At 38.1% G+C, this 19,152-nt stretch overlaps 1 protein-coding gene across 8 annotated transcripts in view; it reads right to left on the bottom strand.

Annotated features, from left to right (window-relative positions):
* The window catches only part of EPB41L5 (erythrocyte membrane protein band 4.1 like 5), a 166,043-nt gene that overhangs the window by 41,605 nt on the left and 105,286 nt on the right, over window positions 1-19,152 (bottom strand). For all 8 annotated transcript variants that reach the window (XM_047445208.1, XM_047445210.1, XM_006712651.2 and 5 more), the window contains 2 exons: window positions 9,664-9,827; window positions 5,800-5,897 (listed from right to left, as the gene is read on the bottom strand). In XM_047445208.1, coding sequence (XP_047301164.1) covers window positions 5,800-5,897; window positions 9,664-9,827 — 262 coding nt within the window. The remainder of the gene's footprint in view (window positions 1-5,799; window positions 5,898-9,663; window positions 9,828-19,152) is intronic.

Here is a 19,152-nt window from a genome sequence, read left to right as displayed (position 1 = left end):
TTTCATCTACAATTTTATTTATTTGAGTCTTCTCTTTTTTCTTAATCTGGCCAAAGGTTTGTCCATTTTGTTTATCTTTTCACAAAGCAACTTTTTATTTTATTGATCTTTTGTATTTTTTGGTTTCAATTTCCTTTATTTCTGCTCTGATCTTTATTATTTCTTTTCTTCTACTAATTTTGGGTTTAGTTTGCTCTTGCTTTTCTAGTTCCTTAAGATGCATCATTAGGCTGTTTATCTGAAATTGTTCTACTTTTGTGATGTAGGTGCTTATTGCTATAAACTTTCCTCAGTACTGCTTTCGCTGTATCGATAGATTTTAGTATGTTTTGTTTCCATTTTCATTTGTTTCAAGAAATTAAAAAATTTCCTTACTTCTTCATTGACCCACTGGTCATTTGGAAGCATATTGTTTGATTTCCATGTGGTTGTATAGTTTCCAAAGTTTCTCTTGTTATTGATTTCTAGTTTTATTCCATGTGGTCAGAGAAGATACTGGAAATGATTTGTTTTTTTGAATGTTCAGACTTGTTTTGTGACTTAACATGTGGTCTATCCTTGAGAATAATCTGTGCGCTGAGGACAAGAATGTATGTTCTGCTGCCACTAGATAAAATGTTCTATTAGGTCCATTGGTCTACACTGATTAAATCCAATTTTTTGAGTTAATTTTTCTGGATTTTCTATCCTCTGCTGAATGTGGGGTGAATTCTCCAGCTAGAATTGTACCGAGGTGTATCTCTCTGTAGCTCTGATAATATCTGCTCTACATATCTGGGTACTCCAGTTTTAGGTGCATATATTATTTATAATGTTATATCCTCTTGCTCAATTGACCATTTATCAATATATAATGACCTTCTTTGTCTTTTTATGGTTTTTGTCTCAAAATCAGTTTTATCTAATATAAATAACCTGCTCTTTTTTGGTTTCCATTTGCATGGAATATCTTTTTCCAACCCTTTATTTTCAGTCTTTATGGGTCTTTATAGGTAAAATGTGCATCTTGTAGGCAGCTGATCATTGGGGGCTTTTTTTTTTTTAATCCATGTAGCCACTCTGTGTTTTGATTGGAGAGTTTAGTTCATTTACATTCAATATTATTATTGATAAGTAAGGATTTATTATTGCCATTTCAATCTGTTTTCTGATTGTTTTGTGATCTTCTCTTCCTTCTTGCCTGCCTTCCTTTTTGTGAAGGGTGCTTTTCTCTGATGGTATGTTTAAATTTCTTGCTTTTTATTTCTTTGTGTATCTGTTGTAGGCTTTTTTATTTGAGGTTACCATGAGGTTTGCAAATACCATCTTGTAACATGTTATTTTAAACTGATGACAACACTGATAGTAAAAAAAAAAAAAAAATTAACAAGCAAAGAGAAAACTAATAAAAACTCTATACTTCAACTTCAAACCGCCACCCCCACCCCCAGCTTTTTAACTTTTTGTTGTTTCTATTTATGGCTTACTATATTATGTCTAGAAAAGTTGTTGTAGTTACATTTTTGATAGTCTTTTAGCCTTCCTACTAAAGATATGAATAGTTTATACACAACAATTTCAGTGTTATAATATGCCGTATTTGTTAGTGTACATACCATTACCAGTGAGTTGTGTACCATCAGATGATTATCTTATTGCTCATTAACATCTTTTCCTTTCAGATTGAAGAACTCCTTTCAGCATTTCTTATAAGACAGGTCTGGTGAAATCCCTCAGCTTTTGTTTGTCTGGGAAAGTATTTCTCCTTCATGTTTGAAGGGTATCTTCAAACATGGATATACTATTTTAGGATAAAAATTTTTACTTCACTTTAAATATGTCATGCCACTCTCTCCTGGCCTGTGAGGTGTCTGCTGAAAAGTCTGCTTCGACTTACTGAAGCACCTTTGTATGTTGTTTGTTTCTTTTCTCTTGCTGCTTTTAGGATTCTTTAACACTGACATTTCCCTTGTATGTTATTTGTTTCTTTTATCTTGCTGTTTTTAGGATTCTTTAACATTGACATTTGGGAGTTTGATTATTCAATATCTTGAGGTAGTCCTATTTGGGTTAAGTCTGCTTGGCGTTCTATATCCTTCTTGTACTTGAATATTGATATCTTTCTCTAGGTTTGGGACATTCTCTGTTATTATCCCTTTGAACAAACTTTCTACCACATCTCTTTACCTCTTCTTTAAGGCCAATAACTCTTCGATTTGTCCTTTTGAAGCTATACTCTAGATCTTCTAGGAGTGCTTCATTTTTTTCTTGTCTCCTCTGACTATATTTTCAAACAGCCTGTCTTCAAGCTCACTAATTCTTTCTTCTGCTTGATCAATTCTGTGGTTGAAAGACTCTGATGCATTCTTCATTACGTCAATTGAATTTTTCAGCTCTAGGATTCCTGCTAATTTTTAAAAATTATTTCAATCTCTTTGTTAAATTTATCTGATAGAATTCTGAATTCCTTTTCTGTGTTATCTTGAATTTCACTGAGTTTCCTCAAAACAGCTATTTGAATTATCTGCCTGAAAGGTCACATATCTCTCTCTGTCAATCTGGGATTGGTCACTGATGCCTTATTTAGTTTGTTTGGTGAGGTCATGTTTTCCTGGATGATCTTGGATGCTTGTTTATGTCTGGGCATTAAAGAGTTGGGTATTTATTGTAATCTCTGCAGTCTGGGCTTGTTTCTACCCATCTGTCTTAAGAAGCCGTTGTAGTTATTCAAAGGGAACTGAATGTTGTGATACAAGTTTTTGGTCACTCCAGCCATATCTGCATTAGGGGGAACCTCATGCCCAGTAAGGCTGTGACTCTTGCAGGCTTGTTAAGGTACAGCCTTGGTAGTCTTGGGTAAGATCCGGGAGAATTCCCTGGATTACCTGGCAGAGTCTCTTGTTCTCTTCCCTCACTTTCTCCCATAAAGTCTCTCTCTTCTCAGTGAGCTGCATGCAGTTGGGGGAGGAACGACACAAGCACCCCTGTGGCTACCCACTGACACTGTGCTGAGTCAGACCTGCCAGTGAAGCCAGTGAAGTACTGGGTCTCACCCGAGGTATGTGGTGACTATTGTTTGGCCAACACTCATGTTTATTCAAGGCCCAAAGGTTCTTCCGTCAGCAAGTGGTGAATCCAGCCAGACTTGTGCATTTCTCTGTAAGACTGCAGGTTCTCTTCTGGCTCAGGGCTAGTTCAGAAATGCCGTCTAAGGAGCTAGGGCCTGGAGTTGGGAACTGTAGGAATCTACTCAGTACTTTATTTTACTGTGACTGAGCTGTTACCCAAGTTGCAAGACAAAGTTCTTTTTATTCTTCCCTCTCCTTTCCTCAAGCAGAAGGTGTCTCTCCCCATGGCCACCACAGCTGAAAATGCCCTGGGTCACACCTGAAGCCAGCATGGTACCAGGTCTTGCCCAAGGCCTATGACAAGTACTGCCTGGAAACCACTGACCCAAGGATTCTTTTGTCAGCAGGTGACAGATCCTGCCAGGACTGGATACTTTCCCTCAAGACAGCAGGTTCCCTTCCGGCCCATGGTATGTCTAGAAATGTCATTGGGAGGTGGGGCCTGAAATGGAGGCTTTAGGACTCTGCTTGGTGCTTTGTTTTACTGTGGCTACACTGGTATCCAAGCTACAAGACAAAGTCTTCTTTACTCTTCCCTCACCTTTCCTCAAGTGGAAGAAGTCTCTCCCAGAGCTGTAAGCTGCACTGCCTGGGACTGGGAGAGGGTGATGCAAGCACTCCTTTGGCTCCTCCAGCTAGTATCTCTCTAGGTCATGTGTACCCCAGGTCCACTGGCTCTGAGCCCAGCACAGTACCAGGATGTGCCCAGGAATTGTAGTCCTTGTGGCCTAGACTATCTTTCAAATTTATTTAGGAGCTTACAGCACTTTAGCCCACAGCGGTGGGCTAGCTGGAACTCAGGTTCCAATTGCTAGGATGGAAGATTCTTCTCTGGCTAGGGCTGTTCTAAATGCAGCCTCTGTGGGCACCAGCGAAATTGTGCCCTGCATTGCTTTCCATTCCGACAGACAGACCAACAAACACTGAGTTCCAATACAAAGTGCCATAGTCACTGTGCTCTCCCTCTCCCAAGCACAGATTCTCTCTCAGCACCACACTCCTCCATAGGGGAGGGGTGGCATCAGCCATTCAAGACTGTCTTTCCTACCCTCTTCAGTGCCTCCTTCCTTGGTATAATGTTAAAACCAGGTACTATGATGGTTCACCTGATTTCCGGTTCTTATGAAGGTGCTTTCTTGTATGGAGAGCTATTTAATTTGGTGTTCCTGCAAGGGGGATGATCACTGGAGGGTTATATTTGGCCATCTTGCTCCATCCCCTCCTTCCTTCTATTCTTGTCTGGCATAGAGTAAACCCTCACTAAATATTGTTATTCTTCCTAGCTATATGATCCCCTAAAAGTTCTTTGATGGCACTCTGTCCTTCACCTAAAGTGCTCCTTTACTCTCCTATCCTGAACCCACACTCCTCCTCATCTTTTCAAGGCTTCAAAACTAATGCAGCAGACTCTCTGCCTCAGAGGATCAGTTATATCATAGTGAGATAAGCAGGACATTTTACAAAGAAACAAGTAGCTGTTCAATAGATTTCCATGAACTCTGAGCACAGCCAACAATCCCCGCCCCCCACTCCTCCCTACCCCCAAGTGTTACCAGGCTTCATTCTTTAGGGTCATTCCAGTCCTCCACTAAATTTCCATTAGTTATTAATCATCTAAAGCTTTTATCTAAAGTTTTCCATTTATCCTTCTGTCTCTGGCCCTGCATTCCCCTACTTTACAGAGATATATTTAAAAAACTGACACTGTAAAAGCAAACAGACAAGTGGGATAGAATACTGAAAAGTCAAGAAAATGGAAAGCCTTTCTGAAATTGAATCACCTTCTAACAGCTATTTCTAATAAAAAATGTATTAGAAAGAAAGGGGAAAAAAAGGCTTGGATCCCGAAAGACAGTTTGAATCATAACAGTGCGAGTGCGAGACAGAAGACAATCACTTTCTACTCTCTGCTGGTCTCTAAAGGAATTCCAGTTAGTTATCCAAGAATGGAAGAACACCGTGAGTCAGCCGTTCTCCTTTCCTCTTTAAAACAAAAACAAAATTCATCTTGGTCATGTTATCAGTTGTCTGTATGTAGAGGGAAAAAAAAGGCCATTTCCAGGTCATTACCTAAAATCAACTCTTCCATTTAGTGGGGCCATCTGGTAGCTGATATGATTAATTATAAAATTTCCATCTCATTCAATTTATTTTAGCTCTTTCTATAAGTTACTTAACATAGAAATAAGAAAATCATAGCCAAACTATAAATTGAAGCTTGATTGGTGTAATTGGTATGTATCCCCCACCCTACAACAAAAAAAATTCAAAGGGGACAGGGGAGAGAAAGGAATGATAGATGAAGTTAAAGCATCTGAAATTCTATTCTCTTTCTTGTTTATACCACAGAGCAGCTCTCTTTAAAACAAATCCTTCTGTAATTTCAAAAGGCTTCAGCAAGTCTTCCAACTAGACTGGGTCAATCAAAATAAAAGGTTTAACACTCATCTTGACTGTGTTTTTTTTTTTAAATCATGAAATCACCTTACAATTCACTTTGCTGTGCAAGTTTCCCCCTTCCCTCCTAAACATCTACATATTTCACCCTTTAAAATGAGAAAACAGGTTTATAAGAACTCAGCACAGACAGATTTCCCAGCTAAAGAAAAAAGAAAGTACTGTCTTTGGAAAGAAAATATTTCTGGGAGCTCTGGAGATGTGTAACAGGTATACACAGGGGAAATCTGAATACCTGGCTGTTTATGTTAACATCGATGTTGGATCGAGGGGACAGCAAAGGACTGTTCTCCATCTCAAGCTGTTTGAGCTTCTCTGAGGTGTCTTTTAATGCTGAAAAGAAAAAAAAAAGGCAAAATAACCCCAGTCTGCCAGGCTGTCACAGCTAGCTGTGTGAGGGTATGGTTTTGTTTTGTCTTCTCAACATCAGTTATCATCAACTAAAAGTAATAATCCAGATAAACACAAAATAAATATATTTTCTTTCCATAACCAGCTATCTGTCCATTAATTTGAATAAGAGTTAATCCTAAGTAGAAACACCACCCTATATCTGCAGCACTCCTAAAAAGCAAGTAGATGTGAAATCTCCCTAGCATGTGTGGTTAAGAAGGTTTACCTAGCCAAGAGACCCAAAAGGCACAGAACACTTGTGACATGATCCTTTTCTTTCATAACCACAACCCAGGCTCATGTCTAACCTCAACACTTTGCCATCTTTGTTCGTTGGCCCTGACTACTGCCTAAAACTAAATTTATGTGGAACAAACTAATGAAGAATATATATTTATTCGTTCACTGATTCAACATATTATATATTGGTACCATCAGGTGTGACGCAAGACAAGCATTTTGTCTTCATAATGTTCTTCCTAGTGGCAAAATACATTACAAAGTCCTCTAACCACTGAAAACATAATACATTAAACACAATTCATCTTTAAATGAAGACTTTTAAAATTAACTGTCCTGAAATAATCTTATTTTGCAGAGATTAATTTGATGTGTGCATAAAATTTTACACTGTCAACTTGACAAAAAAGGTTGAATGCCTAATAATTTCTATATGATCAGAAAGAAGAAAAGAGGGGGAAACTTTGAAATCATATCCTCTGGGTCAAAGGGATCTTCTAAAAGTGGCCATCAATTAACTGAGTGGAGGCCCCGGATACACGTTAACAATCAGCTGGAGAGCTTTCAAGAAACGCTCATTCCCAGGGCTCACCCAAGAATAATTATAACAAAATCTTTTCAGGTAGGATTCTGGCACTGGTAGTTTTTAAAACTCTCCAGGTGATTTTAAGTACAACCAAAGCTGAGCACCAGTAATTCAACACTGGTCTTCTCAAAATCTTTCCTGTCCATTTACTTAATTGCCATCTCCTGGTTTTATTATGCTTCAAATTACTCCATCCTGAATACTCTTTTTGTTGTTGTTAAACCTTTTTCTGCTATACTATTTTGTCCAAGGAACATCCTGCCATGCAGCACAAGCTATTTTAGTTACCATTTGTAACTATTTACCTATGTGAATCAGGATTTTGACATTACAACCAAAATAAAATACACAATTGGATATCAAGATTGATGACCTTAAACTCTTAACATAAAAATGTTCTAATTATTCTCACTGATTGATTTTGAGCAAATGTTATAAGTCTGAATGGATTAGGTCATATGAACTAAACTCCCACACTATGCAAGAATTTCCTCTGCCACAACCTTGACAACATTCAAGCTCCGCTTTAATACTTTCTGTAATGAGGTGCTCACTAACTCTTAGGAACCCTTTTTTTTTTTTTTTTTTGAGATGGAGTCTCACTCTTGCCCAGGCTGGAGTACAGTGGTGCCATCTCGGCTCACTGCAACCTCTGCCTCTCGGGTTCAACTGATTCTCCTGCCTCAGCCTCCTAAGTAGCTGGGATTACAGGTGCCTGCCACCATGGCCGGCTAATTTTTGTACTTTTAGTAGAGACTGGGTTTTGCCATGTTGGCCAGGCTGGTCTCGAACTGCTGACCTCAGGTGATCCGCCTGCCTTGGCCTCCCGAAGTGCTGGGATTACAGGCGTGAGCCACTGTGCTTGGCCAGGAACCTATTTCTATTATACAGCATAAACAGTTAAAAAACTTCCCCTTACTGATGTACAGTCTATTTCCCCATACTTGCAAATTGCTCATCCAAGGTTCACCAATAAAGTGCCATAAAACAAATTCTTTGATATATCAGATTTCCAAATATTTGGAGAGTTATATTTCATTTGATCTTTTTTTAAGCATTCCTAGTTCATTTTACCATGTAAATCCTAAGCTAATATATTTTGCAAAAAGTATGTATTCAATAAGTGATACTAATACAACACTATTACAGCACTGAAAAAATTAAACTTTGTGAATTAGTGTAATGGATATCAAGTGGAATGTAAATAAAATCAATACTGCCATCTCTATAAAGGAGACTGTTTTTATTTTTAACCCTGGAAATACTCTGCATTAAGATAGTCATGGTTCTGGCTGAATCTAAATCCTGATGGCTTTGCTATGGTCTCAATTCTTTCTAGAAACGAAAAGCAAATTTCTTTTTTTAATTTTTTCTTTCTTTCTTTCTTTTTTTTTTTGAGACAGAGTCTTGCTCTGTGGCCCAGGCTGGAGCTCAGTGGCACAATCTCAGCTCACTGCAACCTCTGCCTCCCAGGTTCAAGCGATTCTCATGTCTCAGCCTCCCGAGTAGCTGGGATTGCAGACATGTGCCACCACATCCAGCCTAATTTTAATTTTAGATTCAGGGAGCACATGTGCAGGTTTGTTATAAGGGTATATTACGTGGTACCATGGTTTGGGCTTCTACTGATCTCATCTCCCAGAAAGTGAACACAGCACCCAATAGGAAGTTTTTCAGCCCTTTCCCAGTCCATCCCTCCTTTAGGAATCCTCAGTGTCTAATGTTCCCATCTTTATGTCCCTGTGTAGCTCCCACATATAAGTGAGAACAAGAGCAAGCATTGCTAACAAGAAGTGGAGTCCAGGGCAAGGCTGTCAAAACTGGACTATTCGAAATAAATTACTACAGAGAAAGTACATGAGAAATAGTAATGGGGGATATTTTCTTAATCTAATAACAGACTACTACCTTAAAAAATCAAAATTACTTTGAAATTACCAATATAATAAGTTAAATTATTATTTCTCTGACCTGAGACTAACAAGCACAATTTAAACACGTTAGATGTCAAAAAAAAAAAAAACCATGATGTACCAGAACATTTGTTTGTAGTTATTTCTTAGGAAATACACAAATTTTTAGCACCACTTATCAGTCATACTTCAACATGTTCTATTAATCAGAAGCACTGTGTGACTTTTCACTAACATTTATTTCTAAATTACTAAATATTATTGTATTCTACAGTCTCAGAGACAACAGCATACTTAGGGCAATTTTCTGAGTTGTTTAATGATGGTGGCTAATTTTAGCCTCCAATAGAAATCAAATGGTCAAGAGCCAAATAAATACAAGCTGCTTTAAAATGAACATGCATTACAGTGAGATTCAACAGGAAACTGCTGTTTATAAACAAGTTATGCTTTCATATAAAACTAAACTCACAAATACATAGACATTTTCAATGAGAGATTTACTGTCTCCTTTTAACCTTCAAAAATGTGTGTGTGTGTGTGTGTGTGTGTGTGTGTGTGTTTTAAAGCACCATTCTTTCTGTGTTATTTCTTTTTGTGGGCCTAGGCAATAATAATCCTCATTAATAACAAAATACTTTCTAACAGCTAATGGGATGTTCAAATATTCATTCAATCCTATGCCCTAGAAAATGTTTCCACTCTAGAAAAAAAGCAAAAAGCAAGTTTGAAGACTCTTAAATGTTTAATGTCTTATAAATGACACACAAGTTTAATGACCTCAATTATGTTATCTTAAATATTTCAGTGTTACCTTAAGTCAAAAAGGCAAGAGGGCATAACTCTTCTGAATTAAATTTAAAAGTTGAACTAGTACAAAAAATATTATTGGAGAAGCTGATTTAAATATCTTATTTCAAAGGAAGATAAAAAGGTATCACTGATGTATAATGGAACATTTACTTACTCTCATATTCAACTTCAGGTTCCCCTAATCCCGGAAGCCTGGTGGCTACATTAACGTCATTCAGTGCTTGGGATGTTTCCATAGTGTCAGATGCCCCAATTACATCACCAATCGTTGCTTCCAATAAGTCTGGGCTATTCAGCAAATCAATATTCAGAGGAATGCTGCAATGGAAATAGAAAATTTACTTAGACCAAGAAATTTAACTTGAAAAATTAAAACACTACTCACCCTCTGTATCTGCAATTTCCACCACATCTGTGAATTCAAGCAACCATGAATCAAAAATAAAACAAAAATAAAAATTAAAAAAACATTTAAAAATACAGTTTAACAACTATTTACATAGCATTTATATTGTATTAGGTTTTCTATGTAATCTACAGATGATTTAAAGTATATGGGAAGATGCATGTAGGTTACATGCAAACACGACACCATTTCATATAAGGCACTTGCGCGTCTGCGGATTTTGGTATCTCAGGGAGGTCCTGGAATCTATCCTCCATGGATACTGAGGGACTATACTAACAAGGTCTTTGTTGGAATAAGATTCATGGAAAAGTTTTTATCTCAAATGGTTTTATTCATTTCTCACAACCCTTTGAGTAGACTTCTCCTCCCAGCCAAAATGGAGTGAAAGGGACTGGTCTGCCCTCCCACCTGAAAACCTAAGGGAAAAAAATAACCTTAATAAGTAAGGTTAAATAAATAACCTAAATAAATAAGTTCCACAAAGTTGCAGAATACAAGATCAATATAAGAAAAATCAATTGTATATCTATACATGAAAAATGAGTAAACTCATGAGGAAATTGATGTAGACAATTTCATTCACAGTAACATCAAAAGGGATAGAAACTTAGGAATAAATTTAATAAAGGCTATGTATGACTTGTACACTGAAAATCATTTATAAAGGAGATCTAAATAAATAGACTTTTAATGTTCACAGATTGGAACACTTAATATTGAAGATGGCTTCTCCCCAAACTGATGTGTAAATTCAATGTATTCACTATCGAAATCCCAGCAGGATTTTTTTTGTAGAATTGACCAGCCAATCCTAAGATTTATGAAAGCCAAAGCAGCTAGAATAGCCAAAACAATTTCAAAAATGAATGTACACTATTGAATTTGAAAACTTACTAGAAAGCCACAGTAATCAAGACAGGCTGATACTGGCACAAAGACAGACATGTAAATCAACAACAGAATTGAGAGTCTATATTATGGAATATAAGGAACTTTTGACAATATAAGGCTTTTTGACAAGATAAATCAGGAGAAAAGACAGGCTTTTTAACAAATGGTACTAGGACAACCAGATATCCACAGGCAAAAATATTCATTTAGACCCTACCTCACACTATACACAAAAATTGAATCAAAATGGATAAGCGACCTAAGTGTTAAGAGTAAAAACTGTAAAACTTTAGAACAAATATAGAAGAAAAAAATCTTTGTGACTTTGGGTGGGTAAAGTATTCTTAGATATGACACCAAAAGTATCCATAAAAGAAAAACTGAAGATGAACTTCATCACAACTATAAATGTTTCAGTGTCAAAGAACCATTATGAAAATGAAATGCCACAAATTGGGGGGGAAATTTTTGCAAATCATGTATCTGATAAGGGGCTAGTTATCCAAAGCATACAAGGAACTCTCTGTATATATATTAGTATAAGTTAATATCGTATATATATATTACTTACTATATTAAGTTATAGTTAAGTTAGGATGAGGTGATACTACAGTAGGGTAGGCAGCTAATCCGCTATGACTGATATTCTTATAAAATGGGGAAATTTGGACACAGATACACATAGGGAGAATGCTATGTGAAGACAAAGGCAGATATCAGGGTGATGCATCTACAAACCAAGAAACACCAAAGACTGCCAGCAAACCACCAGAAGCTAGGACAGAGGCACAGAATAGAGTCTTTCTCAGAGTCCTCAAAGAAAGCAACCCTGCCAACACCTTGCCCTTCGACTTCTAACATCTTACTGAGACAAAGTTCAGTTTGTGGTACCTTGTAACAGTAGTCCTAGCAAACCAATACATCTCATATTCTAAAGACCTGCACAGGACTAAAAGTGAGCCTTAGAGCACCACATCAGGCCATAAAAGAAAAGACAAAAAAATCCCAAAAGGCATTCCGTGAGAGAATTCAAAGGACTAAAAAGAACTGTGACTCTTCTCCTTACTTCCCCAGGAGAATGGGGCATTGTAAAATCACATCAGGTAAATGGAGGCTCTAAAAGAACCTCTGAAAGTGGAGAAAGGCATCTTACTCTGTGGTGGGGGATTACTGAGCCACAGAAACTACCAGGCATATGTCAGGTGTGGGTGGCACAGGGAGTGTTCTTAGGAAAATTCAACATATGAATCTGCACATTTGGGAGCATATGTAAATATATTTCCCATGAGCTAAGTGCCTCCCTTAGCAATGAGAGGTCCAAACTCAGTAAGTTGCCTGGGGCCAACTTTACCAATGGAGGGAAAAGGCCGGCAGTTGGACAAGCGGTGTTTCCACTGTTTGGCAGGGCAAGAATGCATAGACTCCCTAGAGGACGAGTTTGGAACAAGCTGCACAACAAAATGCATAATTACAGAAACAGATAATAACACACTGAAAAAATACATGAGTCTATGCTGACAATAAATTATTTCTTTTGATGGTGGGAGAAAAAAGGAAAGTTGTTCTTTACATAAGAAAACCATCTTCTCTCTATAGAAGAAATGACAGAATTAGAACATCACCATATTACAAATATCAAGTTAATAATGGATACAGGCAAAAATTATCAATGAATGCTAAAACTACAGAGTAAAAGACTGTTAGGGAATAAGAAATCCATTCGGTCTTAAAATGACACTCCACAGATTACACAGGAAAAAGTACTTTTACAAAGAACTCTGGTGATATCACCTTAACAAAACATTAGTAAAAATGTTTAACCTCAATCTCATCACGAAAAAACAATCACACAAATCTAAGTTGAGAGACATTCTACAAAAGAACTGGTGTAGACTCCTTTAAAAAAAAGTCAAACGTTATGAAAGGTAAAAAAAATAGGCTGGGGGAACTGTTCATGATTAAAGAAACATGAAAAATGAACTGAAATCTTTATTATACGCTGGATCAGGAGGAAAAACAGCTATACAAGGTATTGAAACATTTGGGAAAATCTTAATAGGTACTGTATATTAGGTAACAGTACCATATCAATGTTAAATTTTCAGAGTATAACATAAAAAAACCTATCTTTGATTTTTGGAGATTCATGCAAAAGTACATAGGAATGAAGTAACGTCATGTCTGCATTGGGATTCTCATTAGCCAGCCAAGAAAATGAAATAAATGCGAGCAAATATGATAACATATTAAGTTGGTGAATCTAGTGGAAGGGCATATGGTTATTCACCCACCATTCATTCAACTTTTCTGTAGGTCTGAAGTTTTCCAAAATAAAAAGTTGAGAGGAATAAAAGAATGCATGTACTTCCCCTGGGCCAAGTGTTAAGTCCAACTTTAAGCCCAATCAATGAAACTCCAAAATGTACCAAGGTCAGATGATCTAAATAGTAAAAGGGTACTTGTGGGCAGGAGCTGAGCCAGAAATGAGGGGAGTGAAGAACGGTTTCGGAAGAGGTGAAATATGAAGTATATTGCCTGTGTTGGGGAAGTGACTGGTTCTATGATGGCCTCTGAGAAAACACACTAATGAGAAGCACGAAAGAGCAAGCATTTGCACATACGCCATCACTGGATTACCAAAGAACCAACCAAGTAAGTCTTCGCCCCCTTTCCTCTTCTTTATTCTTCATCCCTCAATGTGAGCACCACAAGAATAAGGGGAGAAAGTAAAGACTAAAAGAACAAACAGGCCAGGTGCAGTGGCTCACGCCTGTAATCCAGGCACTTTGGGAGGCCGAGGTGGGAGGATTGCTGGAGTCCAGGAGTTTGAGACCAGCCTGGGCAACATGGCAAAACCCCATCTCTACTGAAAACAAAAAAATTAGCGGGGCATGGTGGCACACGCCTGTAGTCCCAGCTACTCAGGAGGCTGAGATGGGAGAATCACCTGAACTCGGGAGGTGGAGGCTGCAGTGAGGCGAGATTGTGCCACTACACTCTAGCCTGGGCAACAGGAGTGAGACCCTGTATCAAAAAAAAAAAAAAAAAAAAAAAAAAAAGGGACGAACACTCCCCATCCCCATTCACCACTGCACCACTGTACATTTTGAGAATGGGGAAAGGGGAAATTGTTAAATTAGAAGTGGACTTTTTGTAATTTAAAGTATGTTTCAATGATTACAAGTAAGATGGTTCTTATATCTATAAATGATGAGCTAGAAATGGGGAAAAGTTGACTTTATATGGATCAATACAGTAATTAAGAGACAAGTCAAGTGGGATATTCAGCCCTTTCTAAAACAAGTGATCAACTCCTTGTAATGCAGTGTGGCTCAAGCGAGGGGGCACGTGAAGGGCTGAGAGTGAAAACAGGCACCAGGGTCAAAAATCCAGCACTGGGGAAAATGAAAACCAAAACACCTCATGTGAGGAGGCGGTGAACAACAGTCAGATGCACTACTTGAAACCAGGGGACCAGGTTTTCTAGACAGGAACAGAGGCTGAAAAAGTTCTATTTACAAGTTTAGAGTTTTAAAGTTTCAAGTGAAAAAAAAACAAAACTTTGTCTGCAATGAAGGGAAGAATTAGAAATATCTGTGCAACCAACAATCAGACCACCATATCCTGGGCTCAAGGACTGCTGAGCCCAAAATCACCTAAGCTGATAAGCAACTTCAGCAAAGTCTCAGGATACAAAAATCAATGTGTAAAAATCACAAGCATTCCTATAAACCAATAACAGACAGAGAGCCAAATCATGAGTGAACTCCCATTCACAATTGCTTCAAAGAGAATAAAATACCTGGGTAAAGGCATGTGAAGGACCTCTTCAAGGAGAACTACAAACCACTGCTCAGAAATAAAAGAGGACACAAACAACTGGAAGAACATTCCATGCTCATGGATAGGAAGAATCAATATCGTGAAAATGGCCATACTGCCCAAGGTAATTTATAGATTCAATGCCGTCCCCATCAAGCTAACAATGACTTTCTACCCAGAATTGGAAAAAACTACTTTAAAGTTCATATGGAACCAAAAAAGAGCCCACATTGCCAAGACAATCCTAAGCAAAAAGAACAAAGCTGGAGGCATCATGCTACCTGACTTCAAACTATACTACAAGGCTACAGTAACCAAAACAGCATGGTACTGGTACCAAAACAGAGATATAGATCAATGGAACAGAACAGAGGCCTCAGAAATAACACCACACATCTACAACCATCTGATCTTTGACAAACCTGACAAAAACAAGAAATGGGGAAAGGATTCCCTGTTTAATAAACGGTGCTGGGAAAACTGGCTAGCCATATGTAGAAAGCTGAAACTGGACCCCTTCCTTACACCTTATACAAAAATTAATTTATGATGGATTAAAGACTTAAACGTTAGACCTAAAACCATAAAAACCATAGAAGAAAACCTAGGCAATACCATTCAGAATATAGGCATGGGCAAGGAATCCATGACTAAAACACCAAAAGCAATGGCAACAAAAGCCAAAACTGACAAATGTGACCTAATTAAATAAAAGAGCTTCTGCATGGCAAAAGAAACTACCATCAGAGTGAACAGGCAACCTACAGAATGGGAGAACATTTTTGCAATCTACCCATCTGACAAAGGGCTAATATCCAGAATCTACAAAGAACTTAAACAAATTTACAAGAAAAAAACAACCCCATCAAAAAGTGGGCAAAGGATATGAACAGACACTTCTCAAAAGAAGACATTTATGCAGCCAACAGACACATGAAAAAATGCTCATCATCACTGGCCATCAGAGAAATGCAAATCAAAACCACAATGAGATCCCATCTCACACCAGTTAGAATGGCAATCATTAAAAAGTCAGGAAACAACAGATGCTGGAGAGGATGTGGAGAAATAGGAATGCTTTTACACTGTTGGTAGGAGTGTAAATTAGCTCAACCATTGTGGCGATTCCTCAAAGATCTAGAACTAGAAATACCATTTGACCCAGAGATCCCATTACTGGGTATATACCCAAAGGATTATAAATCATGCTACTATAAAGACATATGTATATTGTGGCACTAATCGCAATAGCAAAGACTTGGAACCAACCCAAATGTCCATCAATGATAGACTGGATTAAGAAAAGGTGGCACATATACACCATGGAATACTATGCGGCCATAAAAAAGGATTAGTTCATGTCCTTTGCAGGGACATGGATGAAGCTGGAAACCATCATTCTCAGCAAACTATCACAAGGACAGAAAACCAAACACTGCATGTTCTTACTCATAGGTGGGAACTGAACAATGAAAACACTTGGACACAAGGCAGGGAACACCACACACTGGGGCCTGTCGGGAGGGGGAGTGGGGGAGGGATAGCATTAGGAGAAATACCTAATGTAAATGATGTGTTGATGGGTGCAGCAAACCAACATGGCACAAGTATACCTACGTATCAAACATGCATGTTGTGCACATGTGCCCTAGAACTTAAGTATAATAAAAAATATATAAATTTTGGAGGGAAAGGGTGCAGCACAAACTTTCAGACCATAGTAGAGTCCCTTCAATGGCTTTACCATCTCAATTGGACAGATGTTTTAGATGGAGTTTTGCTCTTATTGCCCAGGCTGGAGTGCAGTGGCACAATCTTGGCTCACTGCGGCCTCTGCCTCCTGGGTTTGGGCGATTCTCCTGCCTTATCCTCACCAGTGGCTGGGATTGCAGGTGCCGGCCACCACTCCCAGGTAATTTTTTGTATTTTTAGTGGAGACGGGGTTTCGCCATGTTGGCCGGGCTGGTCTCGAGCTCCTGACTTCAGGTGAGCTGCCCGCCTCGGCCTCCCAGGGTGCTGGGATTGCAGGCGTGAGCCACTGTACCTGGCCTAAAATAATTTTAATTGAAGAAGCAATAAGAAGAAAAAGCTGGAACAGTCTCTTTCCCATTTCCCTTGCAGTTTTTCAAAACTTACAGTTCTCAATCCCCTCATTATTTTAGTCTTTAACCACAAACAATACCATATGAAGACCTTTATGGGTTTTTTTGAGCTTCCAGGTGTAACAGCCTAGATGGTCTGTTTCTTTCTTTCTTTATACTAATTTTATTAATGAGAGGTTTTTTTTAAAAAAAGCACCTGTTTACATGTCTATGTTCACATCAATTGTGATTAGAATTAAACAATCCTAGGGTGTATGTTCCATTTTAGCAAACTTTTGGTAACTGCTTCTACTTGCCCACAGCTTTTTTTTCTTTTTTCTTGTTCTTGTTCCTTTTTTTTTTTTTTTTTTGAGATTGAGTGTCGCTCTGTCACCCAGGCTGGAGTGCAGTGGCACAATCTGAGCTCACTGCAACCTCTGCCTCCTGAGTTCAAGCGATTCTCCTGTCTCAGCCTCCCATGTAGCCGGGACTACAGCCACGTGCCACTACGCCTGGCTAGTTTTATTTATATTTTCAGTAGAGATGGGGTTTCACCATGTTGGCCAGGCTGGTCTCGAACTGCTGACTTCAGGTGATCTACCCACCTCAGCCTCCCAAAGTGCTGGGATTACAGGTGTGAGCCACTGGGCCCACCACCCTGTCACATATTTTTATCATATCCATCTCAGACAATTGAAGTTTTTCTTTTCCTCAAAAATCCAAGATGAGAGGTTACAATAAATACAGTGGAGCATATTTATTTGTATTCTAAACTGGTCAAATAGTCATGTAGATGGAATCTTAGAGGAAAAATTATGAAAGATTTTAAAATTAAAAATGCTTACTCATCTAGCATACTCTACTGAGTTTTCTTAGCTTTTTATTGTCTTTGAGCTTAATATAATTTATTATGTAAATTATATTGAGCTGAAAATCATGCAAGTGCTTTTGCCCAAAGAAATGCAAATTAATTGTCTCAAATAGACACGTATTTGATTATGCTAATTGTGGATATTGACTTGTTTCCATCTCTTTGTAAATTCATTGCAGGTTTTTCTGATCGCCTATATTTATGTATGTTTTTAAATTCTCCTTTGGATACGTTACACCGTCTTGCTGATTCTCTCTTTAATTAACTAAATAAATCTTTGGCATGTGTTAAAAAAAAAGAGAAAGAAATGGAGAAAGGACTCCATATTTCATAAATAGTGCTGGGATAACTGCCTAGCTATAGGCAGAAAACTGAAACTGGACCCCTTCCTTATACCATATACAAAAATTAACTCAAGATGGATTAAAGACTCAAATGTAAAACCGAAAACTATAAAAACCCTAGAAGAAAATCAAGGCAATACCATTCACGACAGAGGCATTGGCAAAGATTTCATGATGAAAATGCCAAAAGCAACTGCAACAAAAGCAAAAATTGACAAATGGGATCTAATTAAACTAAAGAGCTTCTGTACAGCAAAAACAAAAAACAAAAACAAAGACAAACAAAAAAAAACTGTCAGCAGAATGAACAGACAACTTACAGAATGGGAGAAGATTTTTGCAATATATCTATCTGACAAAGGTAATATCCAGAGGCTACAAGGAACTTAAACAAATTTACAAGAAAAAAAGCACATTAAAAAGTGGGCAAAGGACATGAACAGACACTTTTCAAAAGACATACATGCGGCCAACAAACATAAAAAAAAAATCTCAACATCACTGATCATTAGAGAAATGCAAATCAAAACCACAATGAGATACCATCTCACACCATGGAGAAAGGCTATTATTAAAAAGTCAAAAAACAACAGATGCTGGTGAGGTTGTGGAGAAAAAGGAATGTTTTACACTGTTGGTGGGAATGTAAATTAGTTCAACCACTGTGGAAGACAGTGTGGCAATTCCTCAAAGACCTAGAGGCAGAAATACCATTTGACCCACTGATCCCATTACTGGGCATATACCCAAAAGAATATCTTTCCATTGTAGAAATACATGCATGCATATGTCCATCACAGCACTATGCACCTAAGACATGGAATCAATCTAAATGCCCATAAATGACAGACTGGATAAAGAAAATGTTGCACATTTACACCATGGAATACTACGCAGTCATAAAAAGGAATGAGATCACGTCCTTTGCAGGGACATGGATAGAACTGGAAGCCATTAAACTAATGTAGGAACAGAAAACCAAACATGTTCTCACTTACAACTGGGAGCTGAATGATGCAAACACACGGACACAAGGAAGGGGGAACAACACACACTGGGGCCTGTCGGGGGTGTGGGGGAGGGAAAGCATCAGGAAGAATAGCTAATGGATGCTGGCTTAATACCCAGGTGATGGTATGATCTGTGCAGCAAAACACCATGGCACACATTTACCTATGTAAACAAACCTGCACGTTCTGCACATGTACCCCTGAGCTTAAAATAA

Source organism: Homo sapiens, chromosome 2 (genome assembly GCF_000001405.40).
Source record: "Homo sapiens chromosome 2, GRCh38.p14 Primary Assembly".
Taxonomy (NCBI): domain Eukaryota; kingdom Metazoa; phylum Chordata; class Mammalia; order Primates; family Hominidae; genus Homo; species Homo sapiens.
Note: the sequence above shows the minus strand (reverse complement) of the source record. Positions and strands in the feature narration are given on the sequence as shown.